This window comes from Homo sapiens, chromosome 19, assembly GCF_000001405.40.
Source record: "Homo sapiens chromosome 19, GRCh38.p14 Primary Assembly".
Taxonomy (NCBI): domain Eukaryota; kingdom Metazoa; phylum Chordata; class Mammalia; order Primates; family Hominidae; genus Homo; species Homo sapiens.
In genome coordinates, this window is record NC_000019.10 from 8,666,196 (window position 1) to 8,693,912 (window position 27,717).

Below are 27,717 nucleotides of genomic sequence, written 5' to 3' on the forward strand. Positions count from 1 at the left end.
TATGCTGATATGCTGAGTATCTTCTTCTTCTTCTTATTTTTGAGACAGGGTGTCACTCCTATCATCCAGGTGGGAGTGCAGTGGTGCCATCACAGCTCATTGCAACCTTGACCTCCTGGGCTCAAGCAACCTCCTGCTTCATTTTTTTTTTTGATTTTTTTGTAGAGACAAGGTCTCACTATGTTGCCCAGGCTGGTCTTGAACTCCTAGGCTCAAGCGATCCACCTGTCTCAGCCTCCCAAAGTGTGAGATGACAGGTGTGCGCCACCGTGCCCAGCCTATGCCAGGTATCTTATATCTTATAGACACATCTTACCATTTTAGTTCTCACAACATCTGCCTATGATGATAACCTTGAACCCCTTTTATAGATGAGGAGCTGAGGCTTAGAGAGGTTAAGTCACTCAGTCAGTATCCCATGGCCAATATTGGCTATTTCTCTTAGTTTCACTCAATAAATTACTCTTATGACATTAAGATTTTATTAAATTCTAATTTAGGAGCAGAGGGTTGGCCATTTATCTTTCTCTTTCTGTCAATCTCTCTCTCCTTTTTTGAGACAGAATCTCACTCTGTTGCCCAGGCTAGAGTGCAGTGGTGTGATCACAGCTCACTACAGCCTCGACCTCCCCAGGCTCAGGTGATCCTCCCACTTCAGCTTCCCAAGTAGCTGGGACCAGAGGTGCACACCACCATGCCCGGCTAATTTTTGAAAACTTTTTTTTTTTTTTTTTTGTAGAGACAGGGTTTTGCCACATTGCCCGGGTTGGTCTCGGACTCCTAAGTTCAACTGTTCCTCCTGCCTCGGCCTCCCAAAGTGTTGGCATTACAGGTGTGAGCCACCTCGCTCGGCTGTTGGCCATCTCTCTCTACCCACTGTCCCACCCTGCCCTGTCAGGGGATGGAAGCCCCATTCCTTATTAGGGAGGGACTGTGGAGTCCAGTTCAGCACCAGCCTTACAATGCAAGGAAAGAAAAGAAAACAGGAAAGAGGGAGGGGAAACCACAAACAACCCTTAGAGAGCCACAAGTGGCTCCAGGGCTCAGTTCCTGAGTTAGACCTCGGTTTTGGGCTGCTAAATTCTAAGCTCCAAGCTCTAGTTCCATCTCTGCCACTAAAACCCCATATGACCTTGATAAATTCTTTACCAGCTTTGGGTCTCAGTTTTTCCTTCTACGAGTCAACCCATCTCTTGGATTTTCTGGGAACTACAGTCATCCCTTGATATCTGGGGGGGATTGGTTCTGGGGTCTCCCTTGGATATTAAAATCCATGGATACTCAAGTTTCTAATCTAACATGGTGTAGTATTTGCATATAACCTATGCATATCCTCCCAAATATTTATTTATTTATATTTTTATTTTTTTGAGATGGAGTCTCGCTCTGTTGCTCAGGCTGCAGTGCAGTGGTGCGATCTCGGCTCACTGCAACCTCCGCCTCTCGGGTTCAAGTGATTCTCCTGCCTCAGCCTCCCAAGTAGCTGGGATTACAGGTGTCCACCACTACCCGGCTAATTTTTGTATTTTTAGTACAGACGAGGTTTCACCATGTTGGCCAGTCTGGTCTCGAACTCCTGACCTCAAGTGATCCCCCAACCTCGGCCTCCCAAAGTACTGGGATTATAGGCGTGAGCCACAGTGCCCTGCCCTCCCATATACTTTAAATCATCTCTACATTACTTATGATAACTAATACAATATAAATGCTATGTAAATAGTTGTTATACTATATATGTATTTTTTATTTTATTTTTATTTATTTATTTATTTTTTGAGACAGAGTCTTGCTCTGTCACCCAGGCTGGAGTGCAGTGACAGTGGAGACTTACTTCAGCCTCCACCTCCCAGGCTCAAGTGATTCTCATGCTTCAGCCTCTCCAGTAGCCGGGATTACAGGCATGTGCCACCGTACCCAGCTAATTTTTGTATTTTTAGTAGAGACAGGGTTTCACCATGTTGGCTAGGCTGGTCTCCAGCTCCTGGCCTCAAGTGATCTGCCTGCCTTGGCCTCCCAAAGTGCTGAGATTATAGGCCTGAGCGACTGTGCCCGGCATATACATATATAATTTTAAATTTGCATTATTTTTATTGTTGTCTTGTTATTTTTTTCAAATACTGTATTTTCAATCTGTGGTTGGTTGAATCCATGGATATGGAACCCGAGGATACAGAGGAATGATGGTATACTTTTCATATCTGAGCTCTAACTGGTTCTTTTTATATCTACATGTTTTTCTTTCATAACCTCCTGTTCTTGTTTGACAGTTGTCATTCCTTCCTTTATCTTTCTGAGTCACCTAACATATTCATTGTACAGCTCTTTCAAGATTAAACTGATATTCTCTATTTCCTCAGATGTAATATCTTCTAGTTGGGGAGTTTGTGGGAATTTCTTGAAGTGGCCACAGATTCATTATCTTCTTTAGGTTATTTCTCCTTGGTCTGGGCCTTCTGCACGTGCATGCTTTTGACCTTATATATTAGGGGACTCTGCACTTCCATGCGTGGGAGACTTTTATCCTTGTCATTGGGCATCTCTGCTTTGGTCTCTGGTTCAAGTTAGCATTTTCCCACCATTTCTCAGTGTCTGGGAGGAATGGGGAGGTTTTGGTGTGTATTTGGTCTCGAGTGGATAGTCAATTTACCATCTGTAAACAGATACAGTTGTGTTGGGTGATGTCCGAAGGTTCTCAGAGACATTTTCAACACAGATAGTACAGAGTGTGGCCGGAGAAGTCCAGTGGGAGAGGATTCTTTTATTTTTTGAGACAGAGTCTCACTCTGTCACCCAGACTGGAGTGCAGTGGTGCAATCTCGGCTCACTGCAACCTCCATCTCCAGGCTCAAGTGATTCTCCTGCCTCAGTCTCCCGAGTAGCTGGGACTACAGGCGTGCACTACCATGCCCGGCTAATTTTTGTATTTTTTAGTAGAGACAGGGTTTCGCCATGTTGGCCAGGCTGGTCTCGAACTTCCCACTTCAGGTGATCTGCCCACCTTGGCCTCCCAAAGTGCTGGGATTACAAGCATGAACCACCAAGCCTGGCCAAGAGAGGATTCTAACAACAATAAATGAAAAATAGCTATGTGGGTTATTTATTATTATCAGGTACCAGCTCTTAACACATCTTACCTTATTTATTCCTTATACAACCAATGAGGTAGGTACTGCTATTATTCCCCTTTTGCAGATGAGACATTGGAAGCTCATAGAGGTGACCTGACTTGCCCAGGCACACTTAGCTAGGGAGGAAAATTTGAACCCAGTTAAAGCAGGTGTTCTTAATCCTGCCTATTTCATTGCATCCTGACAGCATGGATACTAATCTCAGCCTTGCCGTATTGTTAACTGTGTGGTTTCTTGACCCTTTTGTTCCTCTGTGGAAACCAACCTCTACCCTTCAGAGGTGCTATGCAAACTCAAAACTGTGTCCTCACTGAAACAAGTGGAAGTATCTGGGGACATTTAACCTGGTGCATTAGGAAGGGTTTGGGTACTGGATCCCATTGTACCTGGATTCTGGCTGTGCGACCTCAGGCAGGTCACTTGACCTCTCAGAGCTTTGCTTTCCTGATCTGTCAAATCAGGATGATAGCCGTGCTTTACTTTCCTCTCTGGGTAGTGGTGAGTGAAAAGTGAGATGTTCCATGTACCTGGCATACAGTAGGTGCTCAATACACAAGAATTGTTTTCCCTGGAGGAGAGCAGGCTGTTGTGGGAATAGGGAAATGTCAGTGTCAATTCCTCAAATCCCCAAAGGGTTCTAGGGTCCAGAGGAAGGGGAGATTCTCCACGGATGTTAAGGAAAGAATGAATTCTAGCAGGGATGGGTCCAGCAAAGGTGGCTTCTAGCTCTACTCCAGGAAAACTTTTTGGACCATGAGAGCTCACCTAATCTGACAGGTGACTTTTTTTTTTTTTTTGAGGCAGGGTCTCACTCTGATGCCCAGGCTGGAGTGCAGTGGTACATCACAGCTCACTGCAGCCTTGACTTCCTGGGATCAGATGATTCTCCCACTTCAGCCTCCTGGGTAGCTGGGACTACAGGTAGAAACCACCACACATGGCTAATTTTTGTATTTTTTGTAGAGACATGGTTTCATCATGTTGCCCAGGCTGGTCTTGAACTCCTAGGCTCAAGTGATCCACCTACCTTGGCCTCCCAAAGTGTTGGGATTATGGGTGTGAGCCATTGCACCTGGCCCCATATTTTTTAGAATAAACCATTAAACGTATGAATATTTTGGGAATGAACCAATAAATGCATGAATAGTTGAATAAATTAAAGAATGAGTGAAATGTGAGTGAGTGAATGAATGAATGAGCAGATGAAATAATACTCAAAAGGCAGGCGCCATGAGACTGGAATACAGTCTGATTGGATCCTCTCTTTCCCAAAGGGGTGGATGCCGGAGACCTTCCAGTGACTAGGAGTTCTTGCTGGGTTGGGTGACTATAGAATCCTGCAAGGCTTTTACTGTTTGTTTTCTGAGCTCAGTCAAGATTTCCAGACATGGCCAGGCGCTCTGGCTCATGCCTGTAATCCCAGCACTTTGGGAGGCTGAGGCAGGTGGATCACCTGAGGTCAGTAGTTTGAGACCAGCGTGGCCAACATGGCAAAACCCCGTCTGTACTAAAAATACAAAAATTAGTCAGGCGTGGTGGCAAGCATCTGTAATCCCAGCTACTCGGGAGGCTGAGGCAGGAGAATGGCTTGAACCTGGGAGGCGGAGGTTGCAGTGAGCTGAGATTGCACCACTGCACTCCAGCCTGGGTGACAGAGTGAGACTGTCTCAAAAAAAAAAAAAAAAAAAGATTTCCAGACATGGGAACCTCTTGAACACATGAGCAGGCCACATGGTGTGGCAGAACATTCTCTCTAGTGACTTTAGAGGGGATGAGCTCCCTGTTACAGAAGAGGACCAAACAGAGCTTTGATGTCACTGGTCAAGGCAGCTGCGGAGGCTGCTTGGCTGGGGTGGGGCTGGCCTGCGATGGGGCCATCTCTGAGAGAGACCCTTTTCCTGTTTCTTCATCCCCCTCCGGCCACTGCAAGGAGTGCTGCCTGTCTCGCCACCCTCCGTTAGCACTTCCTCTGCGACCACAGGAAGGCCCAGCCCAGCTCTTACTGTGTTTTCTTTAAATAAACTCGGGCAGCAGAACTATCTGCTGCCCCATCTCCCTCTGGGTTCCTGTGGAGGTGTAGGGGGCGGTGGTTAGGGGGGTTCAGGCCAAGCCACAGACGGGAAGGACTCAGACCACAGTGATAACAAATTTTCCTCTATCTCAGTGGTGTGGCCTGAGAGCTGACTGCTCAGAGTCACTCTGGCCTGTCCTTTCTTTATGTGACTACCAGCCCACACTCACTTCTCTTCCTTGGGCATTGCTGATTCTGGTGTGGCTCTTGGGGACCCCTGGGCTGTGTTCCTCTTCCTTTCCAGCCCAGCTGTGTTCATCTCGGAGCTTGCCTACCACTTCTGTCTTCTCTCCTAGAGCCAAGGTGGTACTTTCTAGATGCTGGCCCCAGAGCTCCGGGATGTGCCGTGGACCTCTACACAGATGTTCATCAATTCCTGGGCTCTGGTCAACATCCGTTGAAGTTGGAATGGTTGTTGGGACCCCCTCTGATGTCCCCCCAAGACAGGGCCAGGAATGTGGCAGGGGAATTCTGTGGCTAGTGGGGGACCCCAAGTGAGGGCTTGTCTGGGGTCTTGTCTGGGGCTCAGGTGAGCTGTCTGGGCAGTGGAAGACCCAGGCCCAGCCCTTTGTGGGGAGAGAGGACCCATTCAGGCTCACTGCACCTCACTGTTATGGGTTCTGCCCTTTTGAGTATTCCTTCATCTGCTCATTCATTCATTCATTTACCCACGCTTCACTCAATTTTAATTTATTCAAATATCCATGCATTTATTAGTTCATTCCAAAAAGATATTCATGCATTTGTTAGTTCATTCAAAAAATCCATGCATTTATTAGTTCATTCTAAAAAATAGTCATGCATTTATTAGTTCATTCAAAAAAATCCATGCATTTATTAGTTCATGCAAAATAATCCAGGCATTTATTAGTTTATTCAAAAAAAATCCATGCACTTATTAGTTCATTCAAAAAAAATCCATGCACTTATTTGTTCATTCAAAAAAACCACACATTTATTAGTTCATTAAAAAAATTCATGTGTTTATTAGTTCATTCCAAAAAATATTCATGCATTTATGAGTTAATTCAAAATAATCCATGCATTTGTTAGTTCATTCAAAAAATCCATGCATTTATTAGTTCATTCAAAAAAAATCCATGCACTTATTTGTTCATTCAAAATCCATACATTTATTAGTTCATTAAAAAATTCATGTGTTTATTAGTTCATTCCAAAAAATATTCATGCATTTATTAATTCAAAAAAATCCATGCATTTATTAGTTTATTCAAAAAAAATCCATGCATTTATTAGTTCATGCCAAAAATCCATGCATTTATTAGTTCATTCAAAAATATTCAGGCATTCATTCAAAAAATATTTATGCATTAAATAGTTTATTTTAAAAAATATTCATATATTTATTAGTTTATTCCAATAAATACTTTTACAGGGCCTTCCTCCTTCATTCCTGATCCTGGGGTGGAGGTGAATTGAGGAACATATGAACACTGGTTTTAGGAGTCTAAGATGCTTATACTTTCATAAGCACACCCCAGAGGCTTTTAAGCAAAGGATAAATGGAATTTCAAAAAGCTACCTCTGGGCTCATGGTGGGTTTGTGGGGGACAAGGGTGGAGGCTGGTGGGGGCCCAGGTGGGATAGAAAATGCTTGGGCGGGGACCAGGGCTGTGGGGACTGGAGAGAGGGGTGGATGCAACTGTGGAGGAGCGATTAGTGGGAGGTGGCATGAATGGGGCCAGGGGAGAAGGATTTGAGGGGTGTCAGTGGCAGCTTTGGGGCCAGAGTTGGTGGCGGTACTCACATGCTAGGAGAAGAATGCTGCTTACTTTTGGAATCTCTGACTGTCCCTGGGTCAGCCACTTAACTTTTCCTGAGCCTCAGTTGCATGGTCTGTAAGTGGGGATGATATGCTCCTGACAGAGGGTATGGTAGCCCTAGGTGTCTATAAGGGCTCAGTGAACTTGGACACCTGAGCAAGGTTATGTTATTAGCCTGGCTACCAGGAACAAAGCTCAGAGACAGCTGCAGGAAATTGCAAACCCAGGGCGTCCCGTCTGGCACCTGTGGACCAGGGTTCACCTAACTGCAGCTGCTTCCCCAGCCCATGTGATGTGGGCAGGTGTGGAGCCGCCTACCACTACAGCAAGTGGCAACAGGTGGGGAGGTGGTCCAGATGTCTTTCGGCTTCAGAGTTGGTCCTGGACTTGGGTTCTGGAGTCTCCCCAGTGACCAGGATTTCTCAGAGGGGGTCCCAGGTATGGACACTGCAGACCCTCCTGTGACTAGGAGTTCTTAGAGGAGGTCCTGGGCATGGGCACTGGAGTCCCTCCCATGAATAGAAATTCTCAGAGGAGTTCCTGGGCATGGGCACTGGAGTCCCTTCTGTGACTAGGTGGTCCTGGGCATGAGTGCTGGAGACCTTCCAGTAGCTAGGAGTTCTTGTTGACTTGGGCGACTGCAGAACACCACAAGGCATTGATTGATTGATTGATTGATTGAGATGGAGTCTTGCTCTGTCGCCCAGGCTGGAGTGCAGTGGCGCAATCTTGGCTCACTGCAACCTCCGCCTCCCGGGTTCAAGTGATTCTCCTGTCTCAGCCTCCTGAATAGCTGGGACTACAGGTGCATGCCCTCATGCCTGGCTAATTTTTTGTATTTTTAGTAGAGACAGGGTTTCACCGTGTTAGCCAGGATGGTCTTGCTGTCCTGACCTTGTGATCCGCCTGCCTCGGCCTCCAAAAGTCCTGGGATTACAGGAATGAGCCACCGCGCTTGGCCTTATTTTTTATTCTCCAAGCCCAACCAAGATTTCCAGACATGGTGGCCTCCTGAGCACATGAGCAGATCACATGGTGTGGCGGAGCAGACTCACACATTAGACAGATTTGAGTTCAAATCTTAGTCCTGCTGCTGACTTACTGTGTGATGTGAGCAGATGAAAGACCTTCTCTAGACATATTTTCTTCTTTTATTATAATTTCACTCAACTTTTCCATGAGACTGGGAGATTTGTGAAGGCTGGGAGGCAGTTTGATTTTCTTCTTTTGTCTACCTTACAACCTGGCACAGTGAATGAATGAATAAATATGCACCTCAAATTGTTTTGTGAAGTATAGTAAGCATTTCTTGGGCAAATAAATTTGAGAGCCTCTAAGTCACAAAACTAAACTTTTTTTTTTTTTTTTGCAGGATTTCTCAGAGCCTTCAATGTACTTTGTGATTCTCCTATAAGGAATAAGGTATGCAATATTTCTCAAACATTTTTGTATTCTTTTTCTGAGGGCGCGTCATCTTTGGCACTGGGGTTCCTAGGAACATACTTTGGGAAATGTGGACTTAGGATCATTGTCAGAGGTCCTTGGAGTGTTGCTATTTGTCTGGTTGTATATTCCTTTATCCTCTGTCAAACATGACCTGAATTATGTCACATAACCATGTAGCAACAGAAACTAAGGTCAAGGGCTGTTAGTGAAGAATAAAAGACTAAATTAGAATGTTGGGGAAGAAAAACCTATACTCCCAATTTAGGAAAGTTACTACGGTTTATCTTAAAACTCAACACTGAGTTTCTGCCAAAGTGAACAGAAAAATGTGGTGTCTTTCATGGTTTCTTGGGTGGGAGTTCAGCAAGGGGGTTAAATGCTCTCCAGCTGTGAACAAGGTTGTTTTCATTCATGTGTTCATTCATTAAGTCATTAATTCATTCAACAAGTGTTTATTTACCACCTGCTATTTACAAGCACAATGTTAGGTACCAGGGATACAAGAGTAGACCAAAAAAGACATACATATGCCCTTATGGAGATGACAGTCATCGGTTTTCAGAACAAAGATGATCGGTTTTCAGCCCTCAGTGCCCCTTCTTTCCTGAAGTTTGTTCTGAATTTTTAGACAGGCTCCTTCCGCCTTGCTGTGGTTTTTCTCTCCACCTGTTTTGTATCTGAATCACAGAAGGTGAAGACATCCCCCAGGTGGTTAGTAGAACCCAGATCTTTGTGTTAGAGTCTTCATGAAAACCAGTGTGAGAAACTGGGCTGAGGCAAGGGAGGTAGTCTTCCATCCTTGCTATATCTCTGGGACACTGGGCATCTTTTCTGGGCTCCACCCTAGGGGTTGGGAATCTAATAACTTTGATTTTTTTTCTCTACCCCCAATTACCAACCCTCTAATTCTTCAACACTAGGCACATGGGAATTGTGTTTTGTTTTCAAACCTGGGCAACAAAGTGAGACCATGTTCCTACAGAAAATTTAAAAATAGCTGAGCATAATGGCATACAAGTGTAGTCCCAGCTACTTGGGAAGCTGAGGCATGATGATTGCCTGAGCCCAACAGTTCAAGGCTGCAGTGAACTATGATCCCATCAATGCACTCCAGCTTGGGTGACAGTCAGACCATGCCTCTAAAAAAATTGCTTTTTTGTTGGTTGGATGAATGGATGGACCCATGGATGAATATATAGATGAATGAATGGATTTGTAGAAGAGTGACTGACACATAGGAGGGACATTTGGATGAATGAAAGAATGGAGGAATAGATGGTGGATGGTTGAGATCAGCAAATGAATATATGGATGAAAAGATGCCTAGTAAAGGCACAATGTGATTTAAAAAAAATGAATCTCTCAGTGAATCAATGGACGGTTGGATGAATGGATGAGTGAGTAAGTGGTAGATGTGATGGAGAGTTGCACAATGAAATGGGGAGATGGGTTTGAGTGAATGGATGGTGAGTGAGTGAATGAATGGATAAATGGATAGATGGTGAGTTGGGTAGAGGGATGGACAAATGGACAGTTGAGTGAATGGGTGAGTGATTGGATTACCCGATGAATGGGTGGGTAGTTGGATGGATGGAAGGGCAGGTAAAAAATTCTGGCCACAAACTGAAGCGATCTTGGGGTACAATCTGGGCACAGTTTAGGTGAATAGCAGCTTATTTTCTGATCCCAAATTGGCTCTGTTTACCTCCATGGATACATATTCTCTATTTCTAGGTTCAGTCATCCTTCTGTCTCCCTCTGGGTTTCCAAGAATCTTACCTTGGAACTCCAATTGAACTGAGCCCTGGGCTTGTCTGCTGACCTTCTCAACAGTAAGGAGAACACCCCTGGAAGAGCATGTGTCCTTCTGAGGGTACAGGGTTGAACCAGCTCTTCATGATGACGGTGGTCTGCTCTTAAGCCTTTCTAGCAGTTTCTTGTTTTGTGGCCTCACCCAATCTTCACTGGGCATCAAACAGATGAAGATCGAACCTTGGTCTCCAGCTCAGTTCCAACTCCACCTGTCCCCTCCATGGGTGATGGTGGAGACAAAGGATAAATTAGAGAAAGGGGTCATCCAGGTCCACCCTTTGCCATTACTCCAAGAACTCTTTCCTTTTTCCCAGGTTCTCCAAGCAGCTATGGATGTGGGTTTCTCGGGCCTGCCAGATGTGTCTCAGAGTCATAGCAAGACCTTGTGGGGGGCTCGGGGCAGGGGCCCCTCCATACGTCGCCAGCGGGAGTTCATGCCAGAAGAAAAGAAGGACACAGTTTACTGGGAGAAGCGGAGGAAGAACAATGAAGCAGCCAAGAGATCCAGGGAAAAGCGACGTCTCAATGATGCAGCCATTGAGGGCAGGCTGGCTGCACTGATGGAGGAGAATGCCCTGCTCAAGGGTGAGCTGAAGGCGCTCAAGCTTCGCTTTGGCCTCCTGCCCCTGACTGGTGGGCCCCGGGCCTTGCCCCTGCAGGCTCTGCTATTGGAAGCCCCCTGGACTGGGGACCCCCGGCCTGGGGCTGAAGCACTCTCATCCTTGTCTGGCTCTCACAGCTGCCTCTTAAGGCCACGTTCCCTGGATGCTGGGATTCCAGGATGTCGGGGCTGCCTGCTGGCTCCCAGATGGACTGGCTTGGCCACTTCTCCTAGGTCCCCCCAAGAGTCTGCATCTCCTACCCTCAACAGAATTGACATGGCCTTGCAGACTGCCCTCCCACCTGCCCTCTTCAGCTGTCACCTCTTGGAGGGGCATGTAGGGTCCAGACCAGAGCTCAGACCCTGCTGGGGGCTGTGGTCACCAGTGCCCTCTGGATGCCGGGCTTCAGGGCCATCAGATGTGTTGCTGACACCCACTGCTGATCCCATGGGTCTGTCTCCTGGGGTGACCTGCCCTGCCCCAGGGAACAGTCCTGAGGGTCTGGGTCAGCCCTCTCTGCCCCACAAACTGCGCATCAAGTCCCGAGCCTCAGGCAGGGTACCTCGTGGCTGGGAGGGTGGTCAGGCGCCCCTCTGAGGGCTTCCTCTGGGAAGGGCTAGGCTTGCAAGGGGGTGTTTGGGGGCGGAATATAGGTTTGTCTGAGGGATGAGTAGCTTGGTCTTGATCAGCAATCTGGGAAGGCCTGTAGGAAGTAGGGGTGCCCTGGCTTGGAAGGTCCACTTCACAGCTTCCATACCAGACCTCCTAGGGGTGGAGTGGATGGGAGCCCATCTTGGATTCTACCATGGCTCTTGCCTTGCCTTAAAATCTATGCTTTGGGTTGTCACTTTTCCCTCTTCCTTCCTCCTTTCCATTTATCTATTCTTCCCTATAGCCATCCATTCATCCATTCATCCTCATTTATTCATCCATTCATTCATTCATCAATCCTTATCCATCCATCCATTAGTCCCTCCATCCTTATCCATCTATCCATCCATCCATCCATCCATCCACCCATCTATTCATCCATCCATCAATCCATCCATCCATTCCATCCATCCATCCATCCATCCATCCATCCATCCCTCCATCCATTCATCCACTTGTCCGTCCATCCATCCATCCATCCATCCATCCATCCATCCATCCGTCCATCTATCCATCCATCCATTCATCCATCCGTCCATCCATTCAGCCATCCATCTGTCCATTTATCCATCCTCCATTTATCCATGCATCTATTCTCATTCATCCATGCATTTGTTCTTCCTTCTTTCTATCTAGCCATCCATTCTCATTCATCCATGCATTTGTTTTTCCTTCTATCTATCCATCCATCCATTCATTCATCCACCCATCCACCTATCTATGCATGCATCCATCCATCCTCATCCACTCATCCACCCATCCTCACCTATCCATCCATCCACCCATTCTTTCTTGCTTCTATCCATTTTCCCATCCACACACCTATCCATTCATCCATTCATACATCAATTTATTCTCCATCCATCCATCCATCCTCATCCATTCCCATTCATCCATCCATCCTGTCTTCCTTCCTTGCATCCACTCATCCTCATCCATTTACCCATCCATCCATCCATCCTCACCCATCCATCTACACATCCTTCCTTTCATCCACCCATTCATCTACTCATCCACCCATCCATCCTTTCATTCATTTATTCATTTAGCCACTCATTTATGTGCTAACTTGTTTATTCATTCATTCTCTTACTCATTAATTTACTTATAATTCACTTGTCCCCTCACCCACCCACTCACGATCTTTAGACCTTCCTTTTGTGCCCAGTTAGTGACAAGTGAGAAGACACTTTTCTGGTCTTGGGTTTCCTGTCCTGGGGTAGGAATGGGTGTTTGGGAAGAAACATACTGAAGACCAGACTGAAGGAGGAGGTAACGTCTAGGGTGTCTGAATCCCCCTTCTTGGTGTCCCCTGGGGGGCTTGCTTACCACCCAGTTTGAGGGGCAGACATATTGGCTTCTTCTGTGTCTTGGATCAGGCCTTGAGCTGCTGGAACAGGAGCAGCTGTGTGAGGGCATCAGTGTCCTCTCTCTCCCTGGCTGCCCCCTGCCCCTGAGAACCAGGTATACACCCACCCAGGTGGAAGGGTCCATTCTGCAGGGAAGGTCTTCCAGGGGCCTGGAGCCCAAGGACTTATCAAGGCTCCCTCCTCCTCAGTTTCTCACTCAGCCCCTCTCCCATTATTATTATTATTATTATTATTATTATTATTATTACATCAGGGATCTTGTTAGATTCTAGATAAAAATACTCAAACTCCAATCATGGGGAGAGCTCATGGGATGGGGGGCTCATCTGGACTGGTACTGACACTGAGAACCAGATGCCCCTGGCCAACTGGATCACTTGGACTCAGGAGCATCGCCCACCCCCACCAGATCTGGGGGCTGGGCTAGTTCTTGGCTACTCCAAGTTTATCAGAGCCACAAATGTGTGCAGGGTGAGGACGTACAAAGTGCCTCTCTCTCACTAGTACAACAGGTGGGCAGTATCACCAAACAGGCCAAGAGCTCCCCTGTGACTGGGCATCCCTAGAATCCTGCACATCACAGGTAGGACCTCCTCTACTTGCTCAGCCTTTGGTTCTGGTCCAGGGCAGGGATTGGGCAAGATCAGCCCTTCTCCTTCCCTCCATGCCTGACCTTCCAGCAGGTGGCTTTTCTCATGTCACTGAGCCTCCCTTATACATCTATAAATGTTTACCTATAAATGAGCCCATTCCCTAGAAATATATTGTGAATATTAAATAAGAGGCAGTAAATAAATTGCCCGGTATAGGGGCTTCTCTGGACTGTTTTATCTTCATAAATAATGTGAATCCTGGAGGGCAAGGTGGCTCATGCCTGTAATCCTAGCACTTTGGGAGGCCAAGGCAGATGGATCTCACTTGAGGTCAGGAGTTCGAGACCAGCCTGGCCAACATGATGAAGCCCCGTCTCTAGTAAAAATACAAAAATTAGCCGGGCATGGTAGCGAGCGCCTGTAATCTCAGCTACTTGGGAGGCTGAGGCATGAAAATCACTTGAACCCAGGAGGTGGAGGCTGCAGCGAGCTGAGATTGCACCACTGCAGTCCAGCCTGGGCGACAGAGCGAGACTCCATCTGAAAAAAAAAAAAAAAAAAAGGAAAAAGAAAAAATCCTGTTTCCCTTTTTGCTTTGCCCACCAAGGAGCTCAGGGCCGAGCTTGTGGCTCAGCTATAACAGCATTTTCATTCATTCATTCATTCATTCATTCATTTTTTAATTCATTTGCTTATTTAGCAAATTTTCTTGATCATAAGTTTCTCATTGTTTCATTTTATTCAAGGCATGTTTTGTTGTAAAAAGTCTGAAAATCATATGCAGCCGAGTTGGCAGTCTTTTCTTTTGTGGTTTGTACATTTTTGTCATGTTTAAGACAACTTCCATGTCTCAAGATCATAAAGATAGTCTCCTATCTTTATGTTCCAGGTACTGGGGAAAGAGAAGTGAACACAATAGATGTGATTCCTGCCTCTATGGTACTGATAACCCAGGGAAGGAGATAGATTAAAAAATAAGAAAAACATATAGTAGGATCAATGATGATACGTGTCATGGAGAAAAAAGGGAGGCTTGGGAAAGGTAGGTGTGGGTGCGTTGTAATAATTGAAATAGGGAGATCAGGATTGAAATAGGGGGATCTCAGCCTTGCTGAGAAAGTGACATTTGAACAGAGACTTGAGAGAGATGAAGGGGGGAGTCATGCATGTATCAGAGGAAGAACATTTCCTAGTCAGAAAGAACAGCCTGTGCAAAGGCCCTGAGGTGGGATAGTGCCTAGTGTTTTGAGGAAGATTGAGGAGGCCCATGTGGCTGGAGTGGAGTGAGTAAGGGGGAGAGAGGGAGGAGGCGAGGGCAGGGAGGTGATGGAAGCAGGTTGTGGAGGACTTTGTGGGCCAAGGTGAGGACTTTGGCTTCCTTTCTGAGTGATATGGGCATGAGGGGGACGTTTCCAAGTATATTTCTGTTGTAGTTCTCCCCTTACCTCCATCCTGTGATGTGTGAGGCTGAGTGAAAATAAACCCACCACATAAGTGCAGGAGAGCTGGCTCATTGTCTGGGGTGGGGATAGGTGGGGACTGACCACAGTGTTGCTGTGACTCATGTCCCCCTAAATGGCCACATTCTCCCTGCGCTCAGAGCCAGGGTGCTCATCCCATCCCTGCTTCTAAACTTCTCTGAGATATGACGGACAGGGCAGGTAAAGCTACTCCATGAGGTGGAATCATGGAAGAAAAACACAGATGGTTCTTTTTTTTCTTTATGAAGCTGTCTTCCACTAAATAATTATTTTTGACAAGTGTGGGAGAAAGGGTAATCAGATGCATGTGGGGGATGCTGGAAGGGCAAAGGGATGGCTGAGGTGGGAGATGAGTCAGTGAGGAAGTGGCCAGGAATAGTTCTCAAGGCATTGCATGGTAGGTAAACAGGAAGGTAAACAGCTCAGGCAAACAGGAAGAGCTGGAGATAAGTTGGAGATAAACTGGTTACTCTGGGGAGGAAGGCCATGGAGGGGAAAGGAAGTAAAGGCTTCAACTTGCCCTGCAAATACCATGACTCCTGAGGGTCTGTCACCTATGACAAGCAGACTCATTTCTTGGCTGCCTAGTCTGGGCCAGTGGTTGTGCTGGTGATTTATCCTAGATTTTGTTTGACCCTCTGAAAAAGCCTTCATTATTATGATCTCCATTAACAGATGGGGAAACTGTGACTCAGAGCAGTTATGTATCTTGCCTAATATTACTTAGTTGGTGACTGGGCCACTTCCCGCCTCATCACTGCACCAGTGTCATTGGCTAACTTTCTATTCCTTGAGATTCTTTCCTGCCTCAGGTCTTTGCATTTGCTTTCCCTCTGCCTGGAATTTCCCTGAGTCTTTAAATGACTCTTTTTTCCATCTTCAGGTCTCGGTTCCAATGCCACCTCCTCAGAAAGGCCCTCCCTGTACATCCAGTCTAAATAAGAGCCCCAGTTATTTGTGTTGAGCATGTACCCATAGTAGGTGTTCAATAAATACTTGTTGAACAAATCAATGAAGTGAATAGGTTCAGATGAGCCTCTTAGTAAAAGCTTCCATTGTAGCTCTTACTTAATTCAAGAGTTAGATCCTGTGTCACCAGGTTTTATGATCTGGAGGATGAGGATGGGGATTCTTCTGTTGCATTCACCCAAAAAGCTTTTGTATTTGGGACAGAGCCTGTCATGCAAGTGTGTGAGAAATATTGTTGAATTGAATCTGAGGTTTGATAAGGAAACAGGAGCCATGTTATGGGGCAGAGGGAGACAAAGAAGGAGGGTGTCACGTAAGTCTTTCCTTCATTCATTCACTCACTCATCTGTCCACTCATTCACTCACTCATTTATTCTTGCACTCATCCACTCACTCATTCACTTACTCATCATTCATTGATTCACTCACTAATTTATTCATTCAGCCACTCATCCATTCACCCACTCATTCATTCACTCATTCATCCATTCACCCACTCATTCACTCACCCACTAATTCAATCCCTTCCTCCCTTACTCATTCATTCATGCACTCATGTATTCATTCATGCACTCCAGTCCCTCACTCATTCATCCACTCACTCACGAATTCATTCATTCATCCACTCACTCACTAATTCATTCATCCACTCACTCACGAATTCATTCATTCATCCACTCACTCACTAATTCATTCATTCATTCACTCACTAATTTGTTCACTCTCTCATTCACTCACTCACTCATTCACACATTCACTCACTCATCCACCCATCCATCCATGCGTTCATGCACCCATCCATCCATGCATGCGTGCATGCATTCATCCATCCATCCATTTATTTATTCACCCACAACCTTCCAGAAACAATGAAATCTATTCCTTTTGGAATAGATTTCAAAGGGTGGCCCTTACAGAACCTGCCCTTTGATAAGAAGATGGACAACCTTCAGGTGAACAAATAGACAATCAGTACTGTGTCAGATGCTACTGAGGGCTGTGAGCTTATGGCTGGGGCATTCGGGGACTGGGCAGGTCAGGGAAGGTCCCTCTGAGGAGGTGACATTTGAACCAAGACCTAGAAAACCTTAGTAAGTGAAAGAAGCCAGCCACAAAAGGACATATGTTGTCTGACTTCATTTGTGTGAAATATTTGAAACATGATTCTTAGAGACAATAAGCAGATTGGTGGTTGCCAGGGGCTGGGGGAGAGGTGGGAATGGGAGTGACTGCTAATGGGGATGGGATTTCTTTGAGGATGATGAAAATGTTTTGGCTGGAGGCACTCACTGCACACCATTGTGGCAGGCGAGAATTCTACCACTGAACCACTGATGCCTGACTGCACACCATTGTGAAGGCACTAAAGGCCACATTGGATTGGACACTTTAAAATGATTAATTTTATGTTATGTAAATTTCACCTCAATTAAAAAAATGCTAATGAGGCCGGGTGCGGTGGCTCACGCCTATAATCCCAGCACTTTGAGAGGCTGAGGTGGGTGGATCACTTGAGGCCAGGAGTTCGAGACCATCCTGGCTGACGTGATGAAACCCTGTCTCTACTAAAAATACAAAAATTAGCTGGGCGTGGTGGTGGGTGCCTGTAATCCCAGCTACTTGGGAGGCTGAGACTTGAGAATCACTTGAACCCAGGAGGCGGAGGTTGCAGTGAGCCAAGATCGTGCCGCTGCACTCCAGCCTGGGTGACAGAGCAAGACTATGTTTAAAAAAAAAAAAAAAAAGCTAGTGAGTCTGCCATGCCCAGAGGAAGGCCTGCACCTGAGATCAAAAGGGACAGAGAGATCAGGGAACAGGGCGCAGAGTATGAGGATATGGGAGGAGAATCACCCCTTGTTGGCCCCCACTTGGAAATGGGGGCGTGGGAGCCCTGCCAGCCCTGGCTTTGTGGGTATGCCAGGGTGACAGGGTGTGAAGCGCCTGGACCTGCCTGGGTAGGGAAGTAACTCACATGCACACACACTCCCGCCCCTTTTTGCGTGGGAGACACAGCATATGCGTGTTCACGTATGTGCTCAGATCAGGGCGTGTAGGTGTGGGCATGATACCTACATGTATACACATGTGTGCTTGAGCCTGGGGGTGAAGGAACCGCCTCAAGTCTCTCCATATGCCCCCCCACAAGCCGTGTTGTGGGGCTGAAGCCTTGCGGAGGATGTAGGGGATGGGGGAGAGTTGAGTTCCCTCCCCTAAGGCCACTGGTGTGCCCCCTCCCCCATCACCCCATCTCTCCCGCCTATGAAGGACCTGGGAGCAGCCCCAGCCTCCCCTCTCCCCCATACTGTAAATTCTGAGAAATCCTGTCCTGTGGTTTGGCCTAGGCCGTCCTCGCCCGCCTTCGTCCCCAGCAGGGCTGCCCTGGCCACTGTCTTCCTGTCTTGGGGCCTGGGTTTGGGGTCATGGGGAAAGACTAAGAACCCCCGTCCCAGCCTGGGTTCTTAGACAGAGGGGAGAGGGCTCTGCCCTGCTTCTCACGACTTTGCTTTGCCTCTCTGGGCCTCAGTTTCCTCTTCTACAGAATGGGGATAATTGTAGTTCCTACCCCCCGAGGGCTGTGGGAGAAGTCGAGGAGGTGACACCCACGGGGAGGTGAGAGCTGAGTCTGGCAGGTCCTAACGCACCTGCTACATGCTGGCTGTCACTGTTATTCATTTTCTGCATCTTGCTTTACTCCAGACTCCACACTTTTATCCTCGCTGTTCCCTTACACAGAATGTCCTCATCCCTCTCCTCCTTGGCAAACCCAGGAATAATCCAAATCCTAACTCAAATTCCATTTCCTCCGGAAACAGGGGAGGGTGGTGAGATGAGCTGGATCTGGCAGGCAGGAAACCTGGGATCTCAACTCTGCCACGGACATGCTGGATGGCTTTGAGCAGGCCACTGTGCCACACCGTGACTCAGTTTCCCCATTCGAGCTCTGATGCTCCAGGGTTTTTTTTTTTTTGAGTCTCTTTTTTTTTGAGTCTCTTTTTTTTTTTTGAGTCTCTTTTTTTTTTGAGTCTCTTTTTTTTTTTTGAGATGGAGTCTCGCACTGTTGCCAGGCTGGAGTGCAGTGGTGCGATCTCTGCTCACTGCAACCTCCCCTTCGTGGGTTCAAGCGATTCTCCTGCCTCAGCCTCCCAAGTAGCTGGGATTACAGGCATGTGCCACCATGCCTGGATAATTTTTGTATTTTTAGTAGAGATGGGGTTTCACCATGTAGGCCAGGCTTGTCTCGAACTGAGGTCAGTTGATCTGCCTGCCTTGGCCTCCCAAAGTGCTGGGATTATAGGCGTGAGCCATTGCACCTGGCCCGCAGTGTTCCTTTTTTTTTTTTTTAATGTTTTCTTTTTTCTTGACACATGGTCTTGCTCTGTCACCCAGGCAGTGGCATGATCATAGCTCACTGCAGCCTTGAACTCCTGGCTCAAGTGATCCTCCCACCTCAGCCTCCCAAGTAACTGGGACTACAGGCGTGTGCCACCATGCCAGGCTAATTTTTTAGCTTTTGTAGAGTCAGGGTCTTGCTGTGTTGCTCAGGCTGGTTGCAAACTCCTGAGCTCAACTGATTCTCCTGCCTCTGCCTCCCAGTGTTGGGATTACAGGTATAAGGCACTGCACCTGGTACTTGGTGTCAAATTGTAAAATGAAGCCAAGCTTGCCCCTGCATCTGCTCAGCCTGAATTGGTGGCCTCAACATCATCTCTGCTGGGTTCATCATTTCCCTAGTGGAATAACCCTGTCTTCTCCAAATACTTCCTCTCCTGGGCCTCGCAATAAACAGGGGCCCTCTCTCTCTGCTCAAACCCTTGAGAGAGGGTGTCCAGGTCCTGGGTTGCTGTCTGTCTGTCTGTCTGTCTGGAGGGTGAGTCCAAGGCTGGACTCGGGGGTCCGTCTTTGGCACGATCTAGTTGCAACAGCAGCCCCACCATCTGTTGAGAGCTTGCTGTGTACTAAGCATGCTAAGTCCACTTCATGCATTAGTCAAAAAGCAGTTTTAAAAATTTATGTCTGGCCAGGCGCGGTGGCTCACGCCTGTAATCCCAGGACTTTGGGAGGCCGAGGCGAGCAGATCATTTGAGGTTAGGAATTCGAGATCAGCCTGGCCAACATGGTGAAACGCTGTTTCTACTAAAAATACAAAAATTAGGCTGGGTGTGGTGGCAGCGCCTGTAATCCCAGCTACTCAGGAGGCTGAGGTAGGAGAATCGCTTGGACCCAGGAGGCAGAGGTTGCAGTGAGCTGAGATTGCACCACCGCACTCCAGCCTGAGTGATAGAGTGAGACTCAGTCTCCAAAAAAAAAAAAAAAAAAAAAAAAATATTATGTCTATGGAGGCATTTGCATCATAAAACATTCAAACAATTACATTCATATATAAACTCAAAAGATTCCAGCCTCCCATCTTAAAGGTGACTGAAATTTAAGAGATGTCCTTCTACACTGCCCAGAGAGCCTGCATGAGCTCATTTTATCTTCATAAAACTCCCCTGAAGTGAGCGCTGACATGGCTGTATTTTTCAGGTGAGGCTCAGAGAGGTCAGGCCACTTGTCTAAGGTCACACAGCGTGGGAGGAAGCTGCCTGGAACCCAGGCCTGTCTGACTCCAATGCCCAAGGAAGAGAGGGGAAGTGGCCTCCCACGGAAGAGGATTCTTCTTGGCTCATTCATTCAGTCACTCAATGATGTTTGAATGTTTTGAATCATTCAGTCATTCAACAAACATGTATTGGGCATGACTGTGTGATGAGTGCTGTTGAAACTGGGGACATAGCAGTGACACGGGGGGGGCCTGTCCTCATGGAACTCGTGATAGGGATGGTGACACCATTGATTAACAAGAAATTAAACAGAAATTTGATGGTCACAACTAGGGAGAAGATTAGGAAGGAAAAAGAACTGTCTGGGTGGACACCAGAGGAACCTAAAGCAAACATCCATATTTTAAAATATACTCATGGCCAGGCATGGTGGCTCACATCTGTAATCCCAGCACTTTGGGAGGCTGAGGCAGGAGGATTGCTGGAGCTGAGGAATTCGAAACCAGCCTGGGTGACATAGTGAGACCCTATCTCTACATAAAATTAAAAAAAAAAATCCAGATGTGGGGGCATGTGCCTGTAGTGCCAGCTACTCAGAGGGCTGAGGTGGGAGGATTGCTTGAGCTGGGTTGGAGGAGGTTATAATCATGGCTGCAGTGAGCCGTGACTGTGCCACTGTACCCAGCCTGGGCAACAGAGTGAGACCCTGTCTCAAAAAAAAATATGTATTACATATTTATATTCACATGGTTCAAAATGTAAATACTTCAGTTGGGCAGCTATGCAATATATCCATCATATTAAACTTTCATGGCAGGGGAGGAACTAGGATAAACATGTTTAAAAAGCCTCCTTAGGGGTAATAATGAAATGAAAGCTGAGAAACACTGGCATAGAAGCTGCCGCCGTTCAATTTTTCTTTTTGTGATCTTTGAGATAGTCTAGACATTTTATTTTTTGCTTTATCTTTTGATTTTTTTTTTTTTGAGAGGAGTCTCACTGTGTCACCAGGCTGGAGTGCAGTGGCACGATCTCAGCTCACTGCAATGCCCGCCTCCCGAGTTCATGCGATTCCTCTGCCTCAGCCTCCCGAATAGCTGGGACTACAGGCACGTGCCACCATTCCTGGCTAATTTTTTATATTTTAGTAGAGACGGGGTTTCACCACGTTGGCCAGGATTGTCTCGATCTCCTTATCTCATGATCTGTCTGCCTTGGCTTCCCAAAGTGTTGGGATTACAGGCGTGAGCCACTGCACCTGGCCTAAAAAAATTATTTTAATGAAAAACATTTAAAAAAATTTGTTTTGTAGAGATGTGTTCTCACTTTGTTGCCCAAGCTGGTCTCGAGTTCTAGGCTCGAGTGACTGTCTCCCCTCAGCCTCCCACGATTACAGGTGTGAGCTACCACTCCCAGCCTATTCTAGACTTTTTAAAAAATTTTTTTTTTTATTGAGACAGGGTCTTGCTCTGTTGCCCAGGCTGGAGGGCAGAGGTGTGATCACGGCTCACTGCAGCCTCAAACTCCTGGGCTCGAGCCATCCTCCTGCCACAAACCCCTGAGTAGCTGGGATTACAGAGGTGCACCACCACCCCCGGCTAATTTTTGTATTTTTGTAGAGACTGAGGTCCCACTATGTTGCCCAGGCTGGTCTCGAACTCCTGGCCTCAAGCAGTCTTCTGGCTTCTGCCTCCCAAAATGCTGGGATTACAGGTGTGAGCCACTGTGTCTGATCTATTCTAGACTTTCTTTCCTTCTTTCTTTCTTTCTTTTTTCTTTCTTCCTTTCTTTCTTTTCTTTCTTTCTCTCTCTCTCTCTTTCTTTCTTCTTTTCTTTTCTTTCTTTTTTTTTTTTTTTAAATCTTGCTCCAGGCTGGGCGTGATGGATCACGCCTGTAATCCCAGCACTTTGGGAGGCCGAGGCGGGTGTGTCATGAGGTCAGGAGATCGAGACCATCCTGCCTAACATGGTGAGACCCCGTCTCTACTAAAAATACAAAAAATTAGCCGGGCGTGGTGTTGGGAGCCTATAATCCCAGCTACTCGGGAGGCTGAGGCAGGAGAATGGCGTGAACCCGGGAGGCGGAGCTTGCAGTGAGCAGAGATCGCGCCACTGCACTCCAACCTGGGTGACAGAGCGAGACTCCGTCTCAAAAACAAACAAACAAACAAAAACAACAACAAAAAAAACTTGCTCCAAACCTCAGAATGTTCTAGACATTTTAAAGCAAATGCCCACATCTCCTTTTATTCCTCTTTTTATGTTAATGATAACATACTGTTCTGGGCTTTCTTTTTTCCCAAACTATATCTTGGGGATCACTCCATGTCAGAACACAGCTTGCTCATTTCTTTTAAAACCCGTGTAGTATTTCTCTTCTGTTGGAATACAATTTATTTAATCGGTTTGTCTGGATGGTCGCGTGTCTTGTTTCCAGTGTTTTGCGGCCAGAAAGCGCCGCGTCACGGATGATGGATAACTGCATTGACGTCATTTCGCGTAAAAGTTGATTGTATCAGAAGGAGAGGTTCCTGGAAGTGCCATAGCTGGGCCAGGTGTTTGCGGCTGGAATATGTCCTGTATAGGGTTGTACCAATTTCCCTCCCCACTTTCAAGGCAAAACAGTACTAGTTTCCCCAGAGTCTCACCAACGGTGAGTATTATCAAATCTTTTGATCGCCAATCTGATGGGTTAAAAACGACATCGCAGTATAGGTGTAGTGTTCATTTCCCTTATGAAATTGAGCATCTTCTCCTGTGTCTAAGAACCGTTTGTCCGTCTTTCTTAATGAGCTGTGTGTTCATATCCTTTGCTAACTTTTTCACGGACCCTTGAGGTATTTTTCCTATTGATTCTTTCTGAGAGCTCTTTATATATGACAGACATTATTCCTTTGTGTTATGAGTTTCAAGTATTTTTTTCCATTTGTCATTACAAATTATTATTTATTATTATTATTATTATTTTTGAGACAGAGTCTTGCTGTGTCACCCAGGCTGGAGTGCAATGGCTTGATCTCAGCTCACTGCAACCTCCGCCTCCTGGGTTCAAGAGATTCTCCTGCCTCAGCCTCCTGAGTAGCTGGGATTACAGGCGCCTACCACCACACCTGGCTAATTTTTGTATTTTTAGTAGAGACAAGGTTTCACCATGTTGGCCAGGCTGGTCTCGAACTCCTGACCTTGTGATCCACCCACCTCGGCCTCCCAAAGTGCTGGGATTATAGGCGGGAGCCACCGCCCCGACCTATTTATTATTTTTAAGTGGTCATTTGTCTTTTGACTTTGATGAGGGTGATTTTTACCTTGCGGAGTTTTTGGGGGTGTTTACACAAAGTCAACTGTTGTAATCATTTCTTTTGTGGCAGCTGAGATTTGTGGGGCTACCTTTGATAAGATGGGAGAGAGAGATTGAGATTAATTTATTTTTTATTTCAATTTTTTTCAGTGCTTTTCAAACCTTATTTATTTATTTTTTTTAGACAGAGTCTCACTCTGTTACCCAGCCTGGAGTGCAGTGGTGCTATTTCAGTTCATTGCAACTTCCACTTCCCGGGTTCAAGAGATTCTTTTGCCTTAGCTTCCTGGGTAGCTGGGACTACAGGCACCTGCCACCACACCCAGCTAATTTTTCTTTTTAATAGAGATGGGGTTTCGCCATGTTGGCCAGGCTGGATTCGAACTCCTGACCTCAAGCGATCCACCTGCCTTGGGCTCCCAAAGTGCTGGGATTACAGGTGTGAGCCACCATGCCTGGCCGCTTTTCAAACTTTAATGTGCTGAGGAATCCCGTGTGGATTTTGTTAAAATGACTCAGTGGGTCTTGAGTAGGATCTGAGATTCCCCTTTTATTTTCTTTTCTTCTTTTCTTTTCTTTTCCTTTCTTCCCAGGATCTTTCTCTGTCACACAAGCTGGAGTGCAGTGGTATGATTATAGCTCACCATAGCCTCCAAGTCCTGGGCTCAAGCAATCCTCCCGCCTCAGCCTCTTGAGTAGCTGGGACTACAGGTGCACACCATCACATCTGGCTAATATTTTTATTTTGGTAGAGATAGGATCTCACTATGTTGCCTAGGCTGGTCTCCAACTCCTGGGCTCAAGTGATCCTCCCACCTCAGCCTCCCTAAGTGCTGGGATTACAGGCACGAGTCACCATGCCTGGCCTAATAAACCTTATGTTACATGATAAGAGAAGGGATAAGACAAAGGTATTTTATATACATGTAAACATATTCATAGCAAGTTAAGGAAGACATATTGGTGACAGCTACAGTCTTCATTTCTGTAACTGGTCACGTGGTTATAGCTGTTATTTTTAACTAACTTTAGAACAATTCTTGGTATCAAAGTTTGCGTTCGTTTGTTCAGGCTGTAAAGTATCCCAGACTGGGTGGCTTAAACAACAGAAATGTATAGCCTTACAGTTCTGGGGGCTGGAAGTCCAAGTTCAAGGTGTCAGCAGGGTTGATTCCTTCTGAGGCCTCTCTCCTTGTAGATGACTGTCTTCTCCGTGTCTTCACATGTTTGTCCCTCTGTGTGTGTCTATGTCCCAATCTATTCTTTCTCTCTCTTTCTTTTCTTTTTCTTTCTTTCTTTCTTTCTTTCCTTTCTTTCTCTCTCTCTTCCTTCCTTCCTTTCTCCCTGTCTCTTTCTTTCTGTTTCCTTCCTTCCTTTCTTCCTTCCTTCTTTCCTTTCTCTCTCTCTTTCTGTTTCCTTCCTTCCTTTCTTCCTTCCTTCTTTTCTTTCTTTCTCTCTCTCCTTCCTCCTTCCCTCCCTTCCTTCCATTCCTTCCCTCCCTCCCTCTTCCCTTTCTGTCTCTCTTTCTTTCTTTCTCCTTCCTTCCTTTATCCCTTCTTTCATTTCTTTCTCTCTCCTTCCTCCCTCCCTCCCTCCCTCTTTTCTTTCTTTCTTTCTTTCTTTCTTTCTTTCTTCTTTCTTTCTTTCTTTCACTTTCTTTCTTGATGGAGTCTCATTCTGTCACTCTTTCTTTCTTTCGAGATGGAGTCTCATTCTGTCCCCCAGGCTGGAGTGCAGTGGCACAATCTCGGCTCACTGCAATCTCCGCCTCCTGGGTTCAAGTGATTCTCTAGCCTCAGCCTCCAGAGTAGCTGGGATTACAGGCATGTGCCACAACTCCTGGCTAATTTTTTCTATATTTTTAATAGAGATGGGGTTTCACTATGTTGGCCAGGCTGGTCTTGAACTCCTGACTTCAAGTGATCCGCCCATCTCAGCCTCTGAAAGTGCTGGGATTATAGGCATGAGCTATCATGCCTGGCCCCAATCTCTTCTGATGTCCAATCAGTCATACTGGATGAGGCTGCACCCTGAAGACCTCATTTTCACTTAATTATTACTTGAAAGTTCTAATCTCCAAATACAGTCCCATTCTCAGGTACTGGGGGTTGGGCTTTCAACATATGAATTTTGGCGGGACATAGTGCATCCCATAACTGGAAGAGAAAGGCAGGCAGTGTGGCTGGAGGTAAAGGGGATTAGGAGGGATGCCAAGGAGAGGTTTAGAGAGATCAGCAGAGGATTCAGGGCCATAGGAAGAACTTGGTTTATTTGCACGAAATGAAAAGGCATAGGCTGGCTGAGCATGGTGGATCATGCCTGTAATCCCAGCACTCTGGGAGGCCGAAGCAGGAAGATTGAGCCCAGGAGTTTGACAAGAGCCTGGGCAACATAGTGGGACCTCATCTCTACAAAAAAACTTAAAAAATAGCTGGTTGTGGTAGTACACACCTGTAGTCCCAGCTACTCCAGAGGCTGAGGTAAGAGGATTACTTAAGCCCAGAAGTTCAAGGTTACAGTCAGCTATGACTGAGTCACTGCACTCTAGCCTGGGTAACAGAATGAGACCCTGTTTCAGAAAAGAAAAAAAGAAAAGAAAAGAAAAGAAGGAAGGAAGAAAGGAATGAGGGAAGGAAGGAAGAAAGGAATGAGGGAAGGAAGGAAGAAAGGAATGAGGGAAGGAAGGAAGAAAGGAATGAGGGAAGGAAGGAAGGAAGGCAGGCAGGCAAGCGACTAGGATGTTCTTAGCAGGGAATAACATGTTCTGTGTTTTGCAAAAGCCCTATGCATACAAGGATCTTCTGAGAAGGTGACTGGGACACCAAGGAGGAGGCGCCTTCAGTCATTCAGCTGATCCCTGGGCTGGGATCAAAAGGATAGAGAGAGGTGGATGGCTCCAGGGGCATTGAGAAGGAAAGGACTTGTGAATCGGTGTGCAAAACAGATATGAACCAGTTGAAAGTTCGTGATGGAAGAAACATGTCTATACAAGTGAAGTGACGAATCTGCCTTCTCAAGTTAAACCCTTCAAGGAGGATCCGGTGGGCAGACACATCATTTATTTTTCTTTTCTTTGAGACAAGGTCTTGCTCTGTTGCCCAGGCTGCAGTGCAGTGGCACAAACACAGCTCACTGCAGCCTCGAACTCCTGGGCTCAAGGGAGCCTCCCACCTCTGCCAAGTAGCTGGGACTAAGGCGCCACCACGCTTGGCTATTTTTTTTTTTTTTGAGACAGACTCTCGCTCTGTCACCCAGGCTGGAGTGCAGTGACGTGATCTTGGCTCACTGCAACCTCCACCTCCCAGGTTTAAGCAATTATTGTGCCTCAGCCTCCTGAGCAGCTGGGATTACAGACAGCTGTCACCACGCCTGGTTAATTTTTGTATTTTTAGTAAAGACGGGGTTTCACCACGTTGGCCAGGCTGGTTTCGAACTCCTGGCCTCAGGTGATCCATCTGCCTCAGCCTCCCACAGTGCTGGGATTATAGGCGTGAGTCACTGCGCCCTGCCGAATTTTTTGGATTTTTAGTAGAGATGAGGTCTGGTTGTGTTTCCCAGGCTGGCCTTAAACTCCTGAGTGCAAGTGATCCTCCCACCTTTGCCAAGTGGCTGGGACTAAGGTGCCACCATGCTTGGCTAGTCTTTTTGATTTTTAGTGAGATGAGATCTGGCTATGCTGCCCAGGCTGGTCTTGAACTCCTGAGCTCAAGCAATCCTCTCGCCTTAGCTTTTCGAAGTGCTGGCATTACAGGTGTGAGCCACCATGCCTGGCCCCATTTCTTGTTTGCTGTGGTTTCCTTACATTTTGGAGCAGTACTGGGCACATAGTGGGTGATCAATGAATGTTTGTGGGATCAATGTATGAATGACTTAAATCAAAATTGAAGAAATCGGGGACCCGGGAGGCTGAGGCAAGAGGAAATTGGGGAACTGGGAGGCTGAGGTGAGAGGATCACTTGAGCTCAGGA

At 46.6% G+C, this 27,717-nt stretch overlaps 1 protein-coding gene across 3 annotated transcripts in view, besides 2 other annotated features; it reads left to right on the top strand.

Moving 5' to 3' along the window:
• The window catches only part of NFILZ (NFIL3 like basic leucine zipper), a 50,519-nt gene extending 35,563 nt beyond the window's left edge, over nt 1-14,956 (top strand). For 2 of the 3 annotated variants that reach the window (NM_001378599.1, NM_001378600.1), the window contains 3 exons: nt 8,356-8,405; nt 10,164-10,261; nt 10,556-14,956. In NM_001378599.1, the coding sequence (NP_001365528.1) occupies nt 10,571-11,440 (870 nt within the window). In that variant the 5' untranslated portion in view covers nt 8,356-8,405; nt 10,164-10,261; nt 10,556-10,570 and the 3' untranslated portion in view covers nt 11,441-14,956. The remainder of the gene's footprint in view (nt 1-8,355; nt 8,406-10,163; nt 10,262-10,555) is intronic. The other variant, NM_001378601.1, reaches the window with a different exon arrangement.
• Nucleotides 5,353-5,402: an enhancer, noted in NCBI's record as "active region_13924". NCBI's record gives its function as "activates an Ori minimal core promoter by ATAC-STARR-seq in GM12878 lymphoblastoid cells {active_cell/tissue: GM12878}" and the evidence as "EXISTENCE:reporter gene assay evidence [ECO:0000049][PMID:35858748]".
• Nucleotides 18,463-18,645: a silencer, noted in NCBI's record as "fragment chr19:8794921-8795103 (GRCh37/hg19 assembly coordinates)". NCBI's record gives its function as "represses an EF-1alpha promoter that drives an FKBP-Casp9 reporter gene in an ReSE screen in K562 erythroleukemia cells {active_cell/tissue: K562}" and the evidence as "EXISTENCE:reporter gene assay evidence [ECO:0000049][PMID:32094911]".